The sequence below is a fragment of the Homo sapiens genome, chromosome 5 (genome assembly GCF_000001405.40).
Source record: "Homo sapiens chromosome 5, GRCh38.p14 Primary Assembly".
NCBI classification, from domain to species: domain Eukaryota; kingdom Metazoa; phylum Chordata; class Mammalia; order Primates; family Hominidae; genus Homo; species Homo sapiens.
Window position 1 is genome coordinate 86,661,711 of NC_000005.10, and position 19,045 is coordinate 86,680,755.

The window sequence follows — 19,045 nt, forward strand, 5'->3', positions numbered from 1 at the left end:
TATTCAGGAATTCTACTTCTTCCTGCTTCAGTCTTGGAAGGGTGTATGTGTCCATGAATTTATTAATTTCTTTTAGATTTTCTAGTTTATGTGTATAGAGCTGTTTATAGTAGTCTCTGATGGTTGGTTGTATTTCTGTGGGGTCAATGGTGATAGCCCTCTTATCATTTCTAATTGTGTCTATTTAGTTCTTCTCTCTTTTCTTCTTTATTAGTCTAGCTAGTATTATCTATTTTATTAATTTTTTTAAAAAAACAGCTGCTGGATGTGTTGATGTTTTGAAGGTTTTTTTTGTGTCTCTGCATTCTCCAGGTCTGCTCTGATCTTGGTTATTTCTTGTCTTCTGCTAGCTTTGAGGTTTGTTTGCTCTTGCTTCTCTAGTTCTTTTAGTTGTGAAGTTTGGTTGTTAACTTCAGATCTTTCTAGCTTTTTGATATGGGCATTTAGTGCTATAGATTTCCCTCTGAACACCGCTTTAGCTACATCCCAGAGATGCTGGTACATTTTCTCTTTGTTCTAATTAGTTTCAAAGAACTTCTTGATTTCTGCCTTAATTTCATTATTTACCCAGTTGTCATTCAGGAGTAGGTTGATCAATTTCCTTGTAGTTTTGTGGTTTTGAGTGAATTTCTTAAACTTGAGTTTTAAACGGATTGTGCTGTGGTCTAAGAGACTGTTTGTTATGATTTCAGTTCTTTTGCATTTGCTGAGAAGTGTTTTACTTCCAAGTATGTGATCAATTTTTGAGTGAGTGCTGTATGGCAATGAGAAGAATGTATATTCTGTTGATTTGGGTTGGAGAGTTCTGTAGATATCTATCAGGTCCACTTGATCCAGAGCTGAGGTCAGGTCCTGAATATCTTTGTTAATTTTCTGTCTTGGTGATCTGTCTAATATTGACAGTGGGGTGTTAAAGTCTCCCACTATTATTGTGTGGGAGTTTAAATCTCTTTGTAGGTCCCTAAAAATTTGCTTTATAAATCTTGGTGCTTCTGTATTGGGTGCATACATATTTAGGATAGTTAGCTCTTCTTGTTGAATCGAACACTTTACCATTATGTAGTGCCCTCCTTTGTCTTTTTTGATCTTTGTTGATTTAAAGTCTGTTTTGTCAGAAACTAGGATTGCAACCCCTGCTTTTTTCTGTTTTCCATTTGCTTGGTAATTTGTCCTCCATCCCTTTATTTTGAGCCTACATGTGTCTTTGACCCATTAGATGGGTCTCTTGAAGAGAGCATACCAATGGGTCTTGGTTCTTTATCCAGCTTGCCATTCTGTGTCTTTTAGTTGGAGCATTTAGCCCATTTACATTTAAGGTTAATATTATTACATGTGAATTTGATCCTGTCATGATGATGTTAGCTGGTTATTTTGCAGACTTGTTTACGTGGTTACTTCATAGTGTCACTGGTCTTTGTACTTCGTTGTGTTTTAAAAATATTGTATGCTTCACAAACTTGCGTGTCATCATTGCACAGGTGCCATGCTAATCTTCTCTGTATCATTCTAATTTTAGTATATGTGCTGTCAAAGTGAGCACTGAAATATCGTAATAATATAAGTGAGATCATATAATACCTACTATACTGTTTTCTTTTTACACTTATAAGCATCTTCCAAATTAGTATTTATACTCTTATGTCATTTTTAAGACAGTTACTAACTCTTGAATGGTATAGATATAATTTATTTAAGTAATTCCCAGGTATGTATTCCAACTTTCAATTTTTCCAGCAATGGTGAAACATATATAATTTGCTGTTCCAATTCTACAGTTATAGAATTATATGTTGAAATTGGGTTTACAGTAAGATTCTATTTTAGTAGCATAAGGTAAAGTAAAATGATTCTATATTAGTAGCATAAGGTAAAGTATTTTCAAGTCTGGGAAACAATAACGGTAAACTTATATGAGGGAAAAAATCTGTTTTTTTTTCTTTTTACTATATTTAACATCAGTAACAACAGTAACTCTCAGACTAAAATAAAACACATTGTAATTAACTTAAAGAAAATAGCATGTAAAAAAGGAATCAGGTGAATGCTTTCCTCACTTTTTAATGGTGCCGATTTTACTTGATGAGTTGTTAACATTTTCAGCAACTGTCAGACAGTGGGTATGAAATGCAGGGTTGAAAGCTCTGGTCAGGATTTGGGGTTTACAGACTCTTGTTCTTTTTCCTCAAAGGGCTAAGGCTGAAATTTCTTGTCACCCTTCAGTTTGACAATAAAATGAAGTCAATCTTGACTTCATGTTTCTCTATTGAGTTAATAAGTATACTACATTTAAAAAACAGGATGGAATCCTTCCAATAGTTTAGTTAAGTTTTTCTAAGTGATTGGGAGTACTGCATATTGCTAAATGGTCTCTCAACTTAATCCATAATAACTTCAGATGTGTCTGCTCAAACCAAACTCAGATGACTTAAACCCCAGGGCTCTCATTAGAGAAAGCCCTCCAGATTTTACTACATAGCACCGTGGTTTTCCAACTGCAGTCCTATGCAAGGGCTCACAGGCATGGGTGATTCTAGAAGAATCAATTTTCTGACTTCCAAGGTAGTCCTTCCTAAAACAGACCTGCCTGAGAATGAGCTTTCTTTTAGGTACTGCCCCACACAAAATATTTCCCTTAAAGGATAACATAAAACTGTTTGGTATTTTTGCTGGTTAGGTGATTTCCAAATACATATTTAGATAAAACAGAAGGAGGCCCGATACAGTTTTTAACTTATAAGTTGTTAGAAATAATTTCTGATGAGAGTTCACCATATCATAAATAAATAGATCCTCAATGGTTTATTTTTCATAACATTAAAAGTATAAAACAAGAAATAATTGAATAGTAATATGCATTAAAGGGAACCATGTAAAATTTCTGACTGTTACAGAAAATTTTCATGTCTTGTGATTGCTTATCTGTAAAATGGAAGAGGAGAATCAGATGTAAGGTTCTGTGTTCTTTGTTCTACAAATTCAGTGCTTATTTTTCCAGTCAATAGAGACACATTGACTATCTCGTCCTTCAAATAGCCAGTTGAGTAACTGTTTTAAATATGGAAATATGGCTAATCAAACATAATTTGACAGTTATAATAGAAACTGTCTTTTTTCAAAAACCTTCTGTCAGCTTCTGTATTTGATTCTACTTCTGTTTTCATTTAATCATTAAATTAAAGATATTACCTTGAAATATTATTAAAGATAATTGGTTGAGACACTAACTTGTATTTTACTCCCAGTGTATTTCTTCCTTTTACCGAGAAGTTACCCTGTGCTGTTCTTGCTTCAGGGGCGTTGATGTTACAAGCCTTAAAGCAGAAGTTGTCTGAACACAGCCTCCTCCCCCAACATTTTGTTTTTGAAAACAGAAGTCCTTTTAATGGATTAAGCCAGTTTATTTCAGAGTGATATGAGAGAGAGATTCATCTTTGGAAGGTGGTGGAAGGTACAGAGCAGGTGGGCAGAAATACACACAGTTCATGAGAATAAAATATTCCTTATATGTATGAGAGAATGTGTGTATGTATCTGATGATGGGAATTATGTTCCTCTGCAGCAACCTAGGGAGAAGATAGGACTTTAGAAGGGACAGCTGCAAGGTGCAATCATGGAGACTAGATAATTGGCCAAGGCTTTTACCTTCAGCTAAGGTATTACACTACATCCAAACTGTGCCCAAGCTAAGTGTAGAAATAGCAAGAAAAGGCCAGGTGCGGTGGCTCAAGCCTGTAATCCCAGCACTTTGGGAGGCCGAGGCAGGCAGATCACTTGAGGTCAAGAGATCGAGACCAGCCTAGCCAACATGGTGAAACCCCGTCTCTACTAAAAATACAAAAATTAGCTGGGCGTGATGACGCGCACCTGAGGCAGGAGAATCGCTTGAACCCGGGAGGCGGGGGTTGCCTTGAGCCGAGATAGCGCCACTACACTCCAGCCTGGCGACAGAGCGAGACTCCATCTCAAAAAAAAAAAAAAAAAAAAAAAGGCAGAAAAGCCCACCTTCTACCTTCTAATGGCTCACATAGGATTACACAATTTATTTTTCAGCCGTGACTGTGATATATTAAAGTGTAGAAAACTTTTCTTTATTTTCAAGGCAGGCTGAAAACTCTTTGGATGTTGGTGCAACCTTAGAGAATAAATGCTGCTCTCGCCGCCCTGAGTACAGTGGGCCTCAGCAATAGATTTCAATTGATTTAGAAAAACAAAGTATTATGACATTTCTTGTAAAAATGTATGATCAAAGAAAACTCACACCTCTACATATCTACTATAATTTTCATTTTTCAGACAGTATAACTGTGATATTCATTGACAGTTTTAGCCAGGTGTTTCTGGTTTTCCTCCTCAGTACAAGGTGGTTTCTACTTCCCCTCCCCTTGAAGTGGGCGTGGCGACGTGATTTACTTAGATCAATCAAACGTGTGTGGTGCGGGCCTCACTTCCAGGTGGAAGCAATAAAAGTAGGTCTGCCCTCCCCAAAGTAGGGTCTTGTCTTTCTCTCTGCCTCAACGATTGGTGACGCTTTGGTTAGCTCGTCTGTTAGCCTCGGTTCTGGAGTGAGGATGACACGGAACAGAGCACCCAGTCTACCCACATGGACAGGAAGTGTGAGCAAAAAGTAAGTCTTGGTTACTTAAGTTGGTGCGATTTTAGAATTGTTTCCAGAGAATAACCTTGAAAATCTTACCCAGTACAATCAATAATGAAGCCCAGAGAGTCAAACAACTTGTTTAAGTTTACTTCTCGGTTAATACATGTTGATTTCAAATACAACTTTCCCTGCTAAGCAGTTAATATTCTATAAGTATTTATTAAGTGCCTGCTAAGGACACACCCTGCTAAGGACCCTGAGGATACTGTGTTGAACGACACAGACAGGGTCCTTGCCTTCAAGAGAGCCACTCACAGACTACTTAACCTTTGTTCAATAATTTGTTTAGGGGTTAGCATTAAGTTTACAATTTCTAGAATCCATTGCCTCAACCCCTCACACACACACACCCACCTTTAAGAAATGGGAATAACATTTGCCCATTTCCAGACTTTTGGGGCCTCCTTTTTTCTTTGTGATTTCTTAGAGTTTAACAACCGTAGTGCCTTGATCACATCTGCAAGTCATTTAAATATCCTAGGATATAATTTATCTGGGCCCTAAGGCTTGAATTAATTTAAAGCTGTAAAGTAGTCCCTTATTATCTCTGCACCTATCTTGTACTTCACTTCCCTCCTAATGATGTTTGTTCTAGATTTGCCAGCTTGAAAATTATTTTCCTTGATGGGGAAAAGAGCAAAACAGAATATGAATAAATCTAAGCTCTCTGCTTTGTTGCTTAACATGTTTTTTGTAGTAAATTGTAGACTTTTCCTGAGGTGTGTGGATTGTTTTGAGCAAGCATATGTACCTGCAGCGTAGCCAAGAAAGTCTACTTAATAGAGATTAAGACCAGTTAATAATGAGTGAAGCTGAAACTAAAAACTCATATGCAGGTGTTCAAACAAATTATTGAGGTGAGCCGGTTGAGATTAATGTGTGTCCAGGAGAACTCATTGGAGAAGCACCTAGAATGTTTTTGGTACTATGAATACTCTAGCTCAATGCATTTTCTTTTTTTTTAATCTGAGGCAACCTAAGGTAGCACTTTCGTATTTGAACAAACATAGAATTACAATTTAGTTAACATTTGTAAAGCACCTACTCTGTATTTGGTACTGTGTCTGTATAGTTGCTGTTACCCTAGAATGGTGATAGTGATCAAAACTGAGTATCCACACTGTGAGTGCTGGTATTCAGTGCTCTCTCTTATGGAAAGATTGTGGGCTTAGTTTGGGTCAGGGAAAGCTTCATTCCTGAGGTGTTTTTTTTTTTTTTTTTAATCTCATCAGATTCTTGTGCAAGTTTCCCAGTACTGGATTTTGATTCCATTTAAAGCTCTATTCTGCCTTATTTATGTAAAAGCCCTTGTTTTGTCTTAAGAGTTTTCCAGTGTTTCAAGTCTTTGTAAACTTCTTCAGATTCTCTCCATTTTTTGTATTCTTAACATCTTCTCAACCTTGAAGGTCTGATCTCATTACCTTGTAGAGACATGAAAATTTCTTCTTTAGTTTCTGATTACTAAATTTGGTCAGTAGCTCACATTATGTTTATAATATGGGGATTAGTACTTAGAGTCTCTGATTTTAATTCCTCACCATATGCCCTTTAGAACTTCTGAACAAAGGTACAATTCCATCTCTCTCAGAACTTTGGAAATGTTCTTTCAGAAAAATATAGCATTTTGGTTTTGTCTGTCTCTCACTGCTTGGCTTTTATTAACTTGAAGATGACATGGTTACACTGTCTCCCATGGTTTCTGTTCCCTCCACATTCATAGTCCTGTCTTCCTAGATTATAAGAGGCTTACCCAAGAGTAACATTTCTTTGCTTCTTTAACCTTCAGTCAATCATTTTCAGTTTTTAGTGTGTATCACAGTGTGGTCTGCAGACACGTGGAGTGATTGTTTAAAATGTACATTTCTCAGTGCCCTTTCTCAGAACCAGCTATACAATTAGCAGGGCATAATGCAAAATTAAAGCCCCATGTTGAAAAGCATTAAGAATTTTTGATGGTGACATCAAAATCATTAAGAATTTTACATGATGGTGACAGTAAGACATTAAACCCAGCATGGGGCCCTTCTGAGCATGCCCAAAAAGCCAGCTCTATTTTTTCTTCAAAGATTCTGATTGAGGAAGTTTGTTTTAGAGCCAGAAAGTTGCATTTTTAGCAAGCTTACTGTATTTTCTGTTGTAGGTTGTTCTGTAGGCCTGTTTGAAAACCCTGCTCTGCGTGATGACCATTCCCATGCCCACAGCAAATTCAAACAGTAATATTCGAGGTTACGTGCTTTCAGAAGATAAACATTTTACCAATACATGTTGCCTTGGTGCCTGTTTTCCAATGTATTTTAGAAAGTCATTGACATACAGTCTGACAGGGTTGTTTATAATATCATTCCACAGGGATATCCCATCTTGTCTCTTTTGTATTAAATAAATGCTTTTGTTCAGGTGGTTCAATCTTTAGATTTTTAGCTATATACATGCAGATGTAGTGATATAGAGACATGTTTATGATGTACAGTCATGCACCATGTAACGATATTTTGGTCGATGACAGACTACATATTGGGCAATGGTCTCATAAGATTATAATACTGTATTTTTACTATATTTTTTTATGTTTAGATACAAAAATACTTACCATTGTGTTATAGTTGCCCAAAGTATTCAGTACTGTAACATATACAGGTTTTTCGCCTAGAAGAAATAGGCTGTATCATACAGCCTAGGTGTGTAGTAGGCTGTAGCATCTAGATTTGTGTAAATAACTCTGTGATAGTTACACAATGATAAAATCGTCTAACAATACATTTCTTAGAAGGTATCCCAGTTATTAAGCGATCTGTAGCTGTATAGTTAAAAAAAAACTCTACTTGACTACTTAACGTGTACTTCTAGATTATTTGGGGGGAAAAATGTCAGGCAATATATAACAGGAAAAATTATTTTGTAAAACAAATATGAAAATGCTAAAAAGTGGCCTCTACCGGATATAGAACTCCCAGAATATATACCTATATATGTATATATTTTTGCTCTGCATGAGCATAAAATACTCATATTTGTATATAAAAATACATATATGTCTAGTATTATAAAAAATAAAAATTTTAAATATATGGTCCTAATACATGCATATGCCTTGGCCCAGCAGACAACACATATTAAGATGATCGTCTATGAAATCACGTTTGTCAGTTGATGTTAATGGCGTAAATCCTCTTAATTTCTACATATTGTGTGTTGGTGCATAAACATTTAATTTGACACACTTTTTCATTAACTTCTTCAGAGCTTCTGGGTGCCTTCTCTAGTATGTTCTATGTTACTCAATCTGTGTTTCTCAGGTTTAATTTTATCTATGCATTTTCAAAACTTCCACTGAAATTTCTGTTCAATTCCACAGCCATATATGTATTCATTGAGCACAGGTCATATTGCATGCTAGACAAAGAGACTATAAAGATAAAAACTACTAGGACACAAGCTCTTTCTTTAAAGAGTTCAAATGAAGTTTAAATTCACAAATGGACATTTATAGTGATAATACAGACTAACCTAACATTTGTATATATGTTTTCTTCCATGGCTTTGGGTTCATAACTCCCATACCTCTTGTTACAGTAAACAGAATCTTCCTCTCTGGTCTTTTCCTGCTCTCCTTTTACCTGCCCATGGCAGGACTCAAAGCTGGTTGTGGGTTACAAGAACCTCATTCTAGAAAGGGTCCTGACTTGTGCCCCGGAGGAAGGAGTATTGCACGGAAAGGCCTAAAAGAATCTGAACAGACAGGCCTTATTGTGTTAAGATCATACCCTTTTGTCCAATCACATTTCAACATGAGTGTCCATGCTTCAATCGTGCCTGTCCAGTGAAGTCTCCCTAAAAAGCCAGAGAGGACAGGGTTCAGGAGCTTCTGGGTAGCGGAACACAGAGAAGTTCCTGGAGGGTGGCACACTCAGGGAAGGAATAGAAGCTCTGTGCTTCTTCCCCATTCCTCACCCAGTGAATCTGTTTATCTGTATCCTTTGTAATACCCTTTATAATAAACTAGTAAATGCGTTTCCCTGAATTCTGTGAGCTGCTCTAACTAATCAAACCCAAAGAAGGCATTGTGAGAACCCCAACTTGAAGCAAGTTGGTCAGACGTTCTAGAGGCCTAGACATGCAACTGGTGGGAAGCGAGGAGGAGGTTTTGTGGAATTGAGCGCTCAACCTGTGGGATCTAATCCTGTCTCCAGGTAGACAGTGTCAATTGAATTGGAGGACACCCAGCTGGTGTCTGCTGCAGAATTGCTTGCTTGCTTGCTGGTGGGGCAGAATCACCACATGTTTTGGGGTCACATATTTTGAAGTTTTATGTGTTGATTGTTGTTGTATTGGTGTGAGAGTAGAGGAAAAACATAGCTTGCTTTTTCAAGCAGTGATGCATGCTGAACCCAACAATTAAGTTAAACTCAAGATGCTACTGGAGCTCCATAAAGAAATGCCTACTGAATCCAGATTAAGTTGTGAGAAAGTAGTTCAGAAAATATTTCCTGAAATAGGTACAAACTGAATGAGGCTAGAACAATGAGTCAATTGGGCAAAGATTGGGATAAAGGTTGTGCATCAGTCAGAGTTCTCTAGAGGGACAGAACTAATAGGATAGATGTATATATGAAAGGGAGTTTATTAAGGAGTATTGACTCACACAATCTCAAGGTTAAGTCCCACAATAGGCTGTCTTCAAGGAGCAAGGAAGCCAGATGGATGTGTTTGCTTCCCCTTCTGCCAGGATTGTAAGTTTCCTGAGGCCTTCCCAGCCATGCTAAACTGTGAGCCAATTAAACCTCTTTCCTTTATAAATTACCCAGTCTCGGGTATGTCTTTATAAGCAGCATGAGAATGGACTAATACATACAGTTTGCAATGAATGGGCTGGCCACAAAAATATAAGGGGCAGAGTTTTGAGAAATGCTTTAAGTTAGGGGCTAAGACAAAGAATATATATTTGTTTATATTTACCTAGGTGAAGAATTTTAAACTTTATTCTAAAGGAAGGGGAATATTGCTACATTTTAACCAAGAAGGTGATCAGATTTTCATCTACAGTAAATAAGCCCCCTGAATTACCCATTCTTCTCAGTTCTAAAGAATATTTTACCCTTGTCAAAATAACAGCTTAAGTCATGATCCAAAAGAAAGATTCTCCTCTTTGACACTACCTAGTAGTACCAGCTTTTGTCTATATTCTCTTTAAAGACGTAACGGCACAATAAAAAAGAATTGAAATTCCCATCTGCATCATAAACCCTTTTTTTTAAATTTCTAATTAGTACTTTAAGGGACCTGGAGGCACTTTAGAGTTTCTTCAGAAGGTGTCATACAGTCTATAAGGGCATCAACAATTTGGTCATAAATGGGAAAAAATGGGTCTGATACCATCTGGTATGCTCTTGTCAGCCCTGCATCTAAAATCCTTAAAGATCACGCATCTTCCCATTTGCCACATCACATTCCCATATGTTTGCTCAATTTTTCACTACTACACATTCTATTCTTGTCTAGAAAAGAAAAAAGTTTCTGTTGAGCCTAGTTGTAAATAAGAGTATTTTATTCCTTAAGTAGAAGTAATATAAATTGTAAGAGACAACATTGATTGCTGTTAGTCATAACAGCTTTCACACTTGACCATTTTCCCTAAATATATTTAAAAAAAAACAAAAGCTTCCCCTTAAGACCTCATTACTGAGTATGAAATTTAGAAAAAAATTGTATCGAGGGACAGGTAATTTGCTCATACCAACTTGCTTTACAGCATTACAAAAATCAATTTATCAACAATGACCACTATAGGTGATATTACCTATTCAAACTTAAAAGACATTTGAACTCTGGGAATCTCACTGCTTATGAAGATGTTATTGTCAATTTTCACTAATATATATGCTGAAGAATTCGCTATAATAATGGTCATTATATTTCTACAAAATCTATAGCATTACAAATCTAAAAGACGTCAAGGACAGTGTTGCTATCTAAATGTTAATTCCTGCTTATCATTGGCATTCACTTAGAAGTTATTTTTTAAAGTCTAAATTTTTCTTACATTCCTATTATTTTGAGTAAATAATTAGCATTTCCCAGACCTGTTTCATAAATCTAACTTTGTATTCTTTTAAAATTTACTTTCCACATAAAATTATTGGTTCACTATTTTTCAGAGGCATAAAGTTTTTCTTTCTAAATGTAAAAATATGTTCCCCAGTAAAAAATTCTTTCTTTACATTGTATTTCCTTTATTGCTTCCATTTTAAGGTGACATTATGGGAGGAACAATAATTGCCTTGTTCATTTTGATTTATTCGGCTCTATGCCTCCTTACCTTGCTAATGAAAAATATACTGTCCTACATGGGTCATTTATGATGTGATTCCATAAGATGCTTTTTGCATTTCCAGCCCAGAGGATAATATATTAGCTTAAAACTACCTAGTAGGAAAGAATTTGTTGGCGTTTTGTTGTTGTTTCTGTTCTGTCTTCCTACCTAATGGGTAACTTAAAACTAATCTATATTTGTAATTGTGAGGACTAAGAGGCAAAAGACAAACGGCAACTGTTGTCAGAATGAGAGCTTTTGCTAAGACCTGTTCTTTTTCCTAATTTCCTATGAGTCCTGCTATGTAAGTGGAATCTTATTCTTCCTTCCTTTCTCAAACCGTCAGTACCTTCTGTTGGGTGATTACTTACCAACAGGTCAGAGAACTACTTTTGTTTCATGAGAAATGAGTAAATGTGGCCACTTTCTTACTAAAGGAGCAGATGTCTATGAAAATATTTGTAAGTCACCATGGAATTTGTACAAAGGCAACTTCATTTGTTTTATTGCCAGGGAAGAGGGTAGCATCACATAGCATATAATTTCAAATCCAGAAAGAAATCCATACATCTATAGTGAACTTATTTTCAACAAAAGTGCCACGAACATACATTGGGGAGAGACAGTCTCTTCAGCAAATGGTGTTGGGAAAACTGGATATCCATATGCAGAAGAATGAAACAAGACCCCTCTCTCTTGCCAAATATAAAAATCAAATTAAAATAGATTAAAGACTCAAATCTAGGACTTGAAACTATGAAACCACTAAAAAAAAACTTTGGAGACACTCTCCAGGACATTAGCCTGGGCAAAGATTTCTTACTGTTCCACAAGCATTGGCAACCAAAGCAAAAATGGACAAATAGAATCACATCAGGTTAAAAAGCTTCTGCACAGTAAAGAAAACAGTCAACAAAGTGAAGAGACAACCACAGAATAGGAGAAAATATTTCCAAACTATCATCTGACAAGGGATTGATCACCAGAATATATAAGGAGCTCAAACAACTCAATAGGAAAAAATCTAATAATCCAATTTAAAAATGGGCAAAAGATCTAAACAGACGTTTCTCAAAAGGCATACAAATGGCAAACAGGCATATGAACAAATGCATCAGAAAACTGCAGATCAAAACTACAGTGATATATCATCTCCCCCCAGTTAAAATGGCTTTTATTCAAAAATAGGCAATAACAAATGCTGGCAAGGATGTGGGGAAAAGGGAACGCTCATACACTGTTGGTGGGAATGTAAGTATCCTTCAGTCACTGTAAAGAGCAGTATAGAAGTTCCTCAAAAACCTAAAAATAGAACTATCATATGATCCAGCAATCCCACTGCTAGGTATAGTCAAAACAAAGGAAATCAGTATATTCAAGAGATATCTGCTCTCTCGTGTTTATTGCAGCACTATTTGCAATAGCGAAGATTTGGAAGCAACTTGTATCCAAGTTGCATATCAAGTAACAGATGAATAAATAAAGAAAATGTGGTACATGTACACAGTGGAGTACTATTCAGACATAGGAAAGAATGAGATTCTGTCATCTGCAACAACATGGATGGAGCTTGAGGACATTATGTTAAGTGAAGTAAGCCAGGCAGAGAAACACACACTTTGCATATTCTCACTCATCTGTGAGAGCTAAAAATTAAAACATTTGAACTTATGGAGACAGGGAGTAGAATAATGGTTACGAGAGGCTGGGAAGGGTAGTTGGTGGAGGCGGGTGGTTAATGGGTACAAAAACAGAATGAATAAGATCTAGTATCTGATAACAGGGTGACTACAGTCAACAATAAATTATTGTGCATCTTAAAATAACTAAAAGAGTATAATTGGAATGTTTGTAACCCAAAGAAATGATAAATGTTTGAGGTGATGAATACCCAATTTACCCTGATGTGATTACTACACACTGTATGCCTGTATCAAAATATCTCAGGTACCCCATAAATATATATACCTACTATGTTCTCATAAAAATTTAAAATTAAAATAATATATAATATTTTCCAGGAAAATTAAACTCGCATGTTAGCAGAGTAAGAAGATCATTTTCTGCCATAGTTTATTATTATCAATATGGTTGAGTTCAGAAAATGTTTTCTCTTAATAAAAAGTTTATATTAAATGAAAAAAGATACATCAATTGTTTAGTGGCAAGACTTTACACTTCATATTTTCTGATGCTCTTACAAAGCTTGTTTTCATATGAATACCTTAGTCTTTAAGCTTTAAATGAGTTGATTTTAGTCCCATATTGAATAGCGTATTATTATTTTGTTATTGTTGTTCATATGTGATCCAATACAGCTAGATGGGAAGACTGAGAGTTGAAACAGGATAATACTTAACATGAAGCCATATGTTCCTTGAGAACAGGCTGTCTCAGAGCCAGCTTGGGACTGAAGACTGCATAGGGAAAGGAGATGTCAGGGTCTCTGTCTTTCAGACTATTGCCAAGAGGAATGGTCTACAGACTCACCCAGAATCTTGAGTCCATGTGAACATTTGAGAAGTTCATAAGCTAGGTCCTGGATATTATTAGATTTCTCCAGCAAATCTGACATAATTCAAAAAGTCAAATATGTATAAAAATATCATAAATAGAGAATATGTTATTGTACCAATTGACATGAAATGATGTAATGAGAAAAACTCAGAATCATATTAAAACAAAAGACTTCTCCTAAACTAGGAGGGAGCCAAGAGACCAAAGAATGACTCAGACAAGTCCAGCTTGGCAAGTAGGTGAGTTTATTAGGATTTACATACGAGGCAGTCCTGGATGGCAGCAGAACAGCTTGAGAGATTTGCGCTGCCTCCCATCCGTAAGCTGTTGTTAAGCTGGCTTTCTGGCACTTTGTCTACTGTTTGTGTGGTGGGACTGCTTTCCTTGGTAGTTCTCAGATACTCTCCAGGATTCTTGGCTTCTCAGGGACACCTGCTTTTCAGCCGGGCACCATAGCCTTGACTCATCAACTTGCATTCAAAACATGTCACACTGCAGGTCTTTTAATTGATAGTGCTTAGTTTTGTCTTTTTTTTTTCTTTATGTACAATCTCATAAGTACCTATTTTTAAGAGACATCCACAGGGCCAAGACATTTATATATTTTATTATTTTAAATGTCTTGGTTGGTTATAAACAACCAAGCAAGACTTTTATACATTTTCACTAAAGACTATCGTGTTTGTTTCTACAACTTCCTATTAGGCACATGTGTAGAAATGTTCTTCAGCATAAATAATTCAAAACTTAGTTTTAAGCAGCTAACCCACTATAGTCAGATTACAGTAAAGACATTAATTCATTTTTTTCACAGGCCTTCCAATATGAACTTCATTTAAAATTCATTGGTTCTTTTTTCAGATCATCCTCTCTCCCTACATTTTCATAGTTGCTGTTAACCTTAAAGATGTTTCACACAAATGCATAGAGACAGATACAAGACAAATGAATAGAGAAAATTCTATGAAAAAAAGATATACTTTAATTGCTTATGAACTTTATAATATTGTTGAGAACGATTATTTGTCAGGGAGTGATAAAAATTCCCACATGAATGCATGTACTATAATTATAATAATTTGTAATGATTCAACACTCTTGTAGTCAGAGCAAAGTGCTCTTCTGCCTGCGTTGTGTTTTTATGTATTTGTAGGTGTTATGAATCCAAAGACTCATAGATGGTCATTTTAACCTGACATGCTCTGTTGTAGGAGAGCTTCTTCAATTCATTAACCTCATTTAAATAGACACAAAATGCTAAATCAAGAAAATTCCTTCTGATCATTTTAGAAATCAGTAATGACTTCACCACAGCAATATCTCTTTTGGGTGTTTGACAAACAGTATCTTTTCTGGTAAGGAGGAGTAATAGAGAATTTAATAATCATGGATATGAATAGGGGAAAAACTGAAAATCTGCTCATTATAATTATAATAGGTAGTATAATTAGAGATGCCTGGACAACCAGAGCAATGGAAAGAGCTAAGAATGTGTAAAAAATGAAGAGGAGGCTGGGGAAAGCTTCAATTGTAGTGCCATTTCAGAGTTAGATTTGTAAAAATCAATGGAAGCAGTAAACAAGAGAACTGACTCCACTAATGCATAGTGTGCATAGTGGGAATGATATATGAATTACATTCTAACCATATGTGAATGCAAATAGTAGTATCATATTTGGAAAAGGACATCAGCTCTTTACAACACTGTATACTCTCCTAGACCATAGTCTTCTTTTTTTGTAAGATAAAAAAAGATTGCCCCCAAGCCTAAAGCAACACATATCCGTAGTTTTGAATTGAATCCAGGATTGATACTTTACTTTACCGATGTCTTTGAAATCAACATGGTTGATGACAAAAGACATATAAATCATCCTATGAAATCTTGTGACCTTGATCTTTGCTACTTTATTCAGCCAAGTTGGTTCTTCTCAGGACTTTAAATATAAGAGCATTGAATTGACTAAAACAGTGTGTCCTAGGGGCAGAATAAGATCTTCGTGATTAATGATTTATTGGAAAAAGGTACTGAGAAGAGCGGGTGTGTCTTAGACTTGGGATCCCTTAGGTGGTGAGTTGATATTTATATGCTATGTTATTTTATAAATAATTGCTAAAAAGTGTCTCAGGAACATTGTGTAATCCTTTAAATTTGTAATTGTAGGCGGCCCTTAATTTTAAGGTAAGTGATTTTGCTATACAATAAAATAATTAAAAATGTTCAATTTAGGCCCAACTCAGGACAATGCCAATTCTTATACTGTTTTCTAATTAAGAAAAAAATAAAGTGAAATTAGTAGGAGCACATTTTTAATATCTCATAATTAAACTAATCAATAAAAATAAACAGATGTTTGGCTGAAAGGGAACAAAGAGAAAAAACAAAGGGAGAAAGGAAATCATAGGTTCTCAGAATAGCCTGCCCAATGAGCGAAGGCAGAAGGAGAGTGAGTTACCGGCAATAGACAGAAAATTGCTTGCTTTTTTGTTTTGCTTTCCTCAAGCATACACAGATCCAGCTCCCCATACCATCTTCTCCATATTTATGACTGCCCCTTGTCCTTAATGGAACCATCTTTCTCTTATGTATCGTTCCTTCACTCCCTTCTTTGTTTTGCTTTTTCTTCATTCCTCCTTGACTGGTGGAGGACATTTCATTACACGTGTGCTTGGAAACTTTGATGCCCTTAGTCTGGCTCAGTAAATATCTCTGTATGTACCTTGTCATCAATGTGACACTTGAGCACTGGGCTTGACTAACAGCAGCAAGTATCTGGATACAGCATTCATTCTAGGAATAATACGGTATTTTTCTGGTGGAGGAAGCATGGACTAGACTTTTGGAAACCTGGGTTCTAGGCCTGACTCTGGCTCTCTTGAGCAGTTTGACCTTGGATAATCAAGTCCTTACTTCTGGTGTCGATTCCAGGTCTCTGAAGTGATTGTATTGATATTTTGTATTCCCTCCTTGGCTAATTTAGTCCAACCTTCTCATTTTAGGGGTAGAGAAATTAAGCTATGGAGAGAATTATCTACAAACATCTCATTTATCTTGTATTAATATTAGTTTGCATTTATATTACTTCATTTATATAGAATTGTCTTTATGTAGAATTTTATGTGTGTATAAAATACAACTATTGAGGATCCCCACTCCCCACTCAAAACAACAAAATTCACCTCCTTAAATTATCTGTTCTTCAAATAATACCTCATCCAGGTATACTACTAACTGTAATCCTCCCAAGAGTTTTATTTTAGAATGGGGAATAAAATGAACAGTTCAGTAGTAGAAGTGAGAGACTAGATATTTTTGTTGCAAATAAAGTTATCCAGGGAAAGGGGAGTGGTCAAGAATAACACACTTTCTGGAACAGGAAAATTAGAGTGGCCTGACTACTATTATAAAATGAGCAGGTATACGTTTATATAATATAGTTTTTTTTTTCAGTAAAATTCTAAGTTGTGAAGACGCTGGTATTCTATTTTATTAGAAGCCATATTGCATGCAGAAAGTTACACACACACATTCATTCACATACAAATATTCCTAAGTGAAAAACTATGTTTGCTATATTTGTCATTTAAATATAAACTTATGACAACTTGTGGCACAGGTTTATTTTATTTTTGACATGGGGGTCTTGTTCTGTCACCCAGGCTGGTGTGCAATGGTGCAATCAGTGCAATCACTGCTTACCGAAGCCTCTACCTCTCAAGTTCAAGCAATCCTCCTACCTCAGCCTCCCGAGAAGCTGGGACCACAAGCATATGCCACCACACCCAGCTAATTTTTTTTTTTTTTAATTTTGTGTAGAGACAAGGTCTCCCTGTGTTTCCCAGGCTGGTCTCAAATTCCTCAGCTCAAGTGATCCTCTCGCCTCGGCCTCCCAAAGTGCTGGGATTATAGGCATGAGCCACCATGCCTGGCCTGTAGCACAAGTTTAAAGATATTATTGCCAGAATGTCTGCTTTCCTCAATAAAGGCTAGAGGAAATCGAATAGCAAAAGTGCTGTTGGAAGGAGAGGTACCTCAGGCCTGATTTATCTACTCTTATCTGTCTACGTTAAGCTAATTGAAAGAAGAAATCATGTTTGCTGTGAAACAACCAAAATCTATTATGTGAGGGACTTCCCACATAGTGAGTTAGATAGAAAGACTAATACAGTTAGCTAAACTTGTGCCAAAACTATTAAAATGTACTTTTTAAAGTATACTTTACAGACAAAAACCAACTTGGCTGTTATTATAATCTATGAATATAATTCATAATACAATCCATGATATTTGAAACTTTGAGCCCCTCAGTAATTCTTTATTGTGCATTGTGTATGTGTATATGTGTGTAATGGTAGTAGCAGCTGGCAAACAAAAATGATTTTTATCTTAATGTTACAGTGTTCCCAAGTTTATTTCCTTAAGTACTGCCCTGCTGAATTTTCTTAGTCGATATTGCCCCCTTCAGTTCATTCCAAGGATGTGCATGATAATAAATGGAGCACATAATTTTTCTCTGGGCTGTGTTTAACTTGGCACCAGGAGATTAACAGACAAGGCAGCCAAACCCACTCAAGGCTGATATGACCTCATTGGTCACATGGACATTCTAGTTCTTTCCCAGGCATTATTTCCACATGAGAAAAGATGTTGTTTTTGAAGGAGTCAGCAACCAAAACCAATATCCACATTAAGGAATCATTGCCAATTAGATTGCCTTTAGTGGCAATGAAGGATTTGAAACTGGTGTAAATTTCTCTTAAAATCATATGGGCCCACTGTAATTACTACAAATAAAAATAAAAAGATATTGCGAGTGTCCTTTTGCCTTAGGGTCAGAGAAGGAAACATAAGCTGGAGGGCATTTAATTCAGCCAACCTTCATTATTCGTTTAAAACCTTTAGTAACAGTTATTTTCATAGCATTCTGTTGATTGAGCAAGCCAAGATATTACATAAAGGCCTCCTTGTTTGTAGAAGGGCTTAGGAGAACTGAGAAAATTTGGTGGAAAATATGACTAGTTTTGTGAAGATTATATAATTTGACATTTTATTTAACAGCAAAGTATTATTAATCATTTTTACCAACCACAAAATACAAATGTAGACATTTTTAAATACTCAATATAGGTCTAGAAAACCATTAGTGATTTCACAAAACATTCCACAGCCTTATACCAACCTTGAAAATAGTTTCCAAGAAAGCAAAAGGCTCAGACACACAATTTATCAGTAGGCAACCCTATATATTGCATGAATGTTAGTTCCACCCTATACTCTGCTGGCCTCTTCCTGCTGTGTTCAGTTGCAATGGACTAATCAAACGTAAACCTCATTCTACATTTAATTCTGAAATTTCCCACAAGCATAGATTTTCAAAGAAACAACAACCAAAACTGTAGACAAAGGATCTTTATCCCATTGAAGATAAAAAAAAAAAATAGGTAACTTGAAGTTTTCACAATAGACACTGATAAATGGAAGAAGCATGTTAAATTTCTTCGGCGTTTAATCCTCCCTTTAAATGTTGATAACTTATTAATCTTCAGTTCTGTAATCAAAG

The 19,045-nt window shown here is 35.9% G+C and overlaps 1 pseudogene, besides 1 other annotated feature; it reads right to left on the reverse strand.

Moving 5' to 3' along the window:
• On the reverse strand, positions 1,434–1,540 carry RNU6-804P (RNA, U6 small nuclear 804, pseudogene; annotated as a pseudogene).
• Positions 4,342–4,636: an enhancer, noted in NCBI's record as "tiled region #9296; K562 Activating non-DNase unmatched - State 3:PromF". NCBI's record gives its function as "activates a minimal TATA promoter and a strong SV40 promoter by Sharpr-MPRA in K562 cells {active_cell/tissue: K562}" and the evidence as "EXISTENCE:reporter gene assay evidence [ECO:0000049][PMID:27701403]".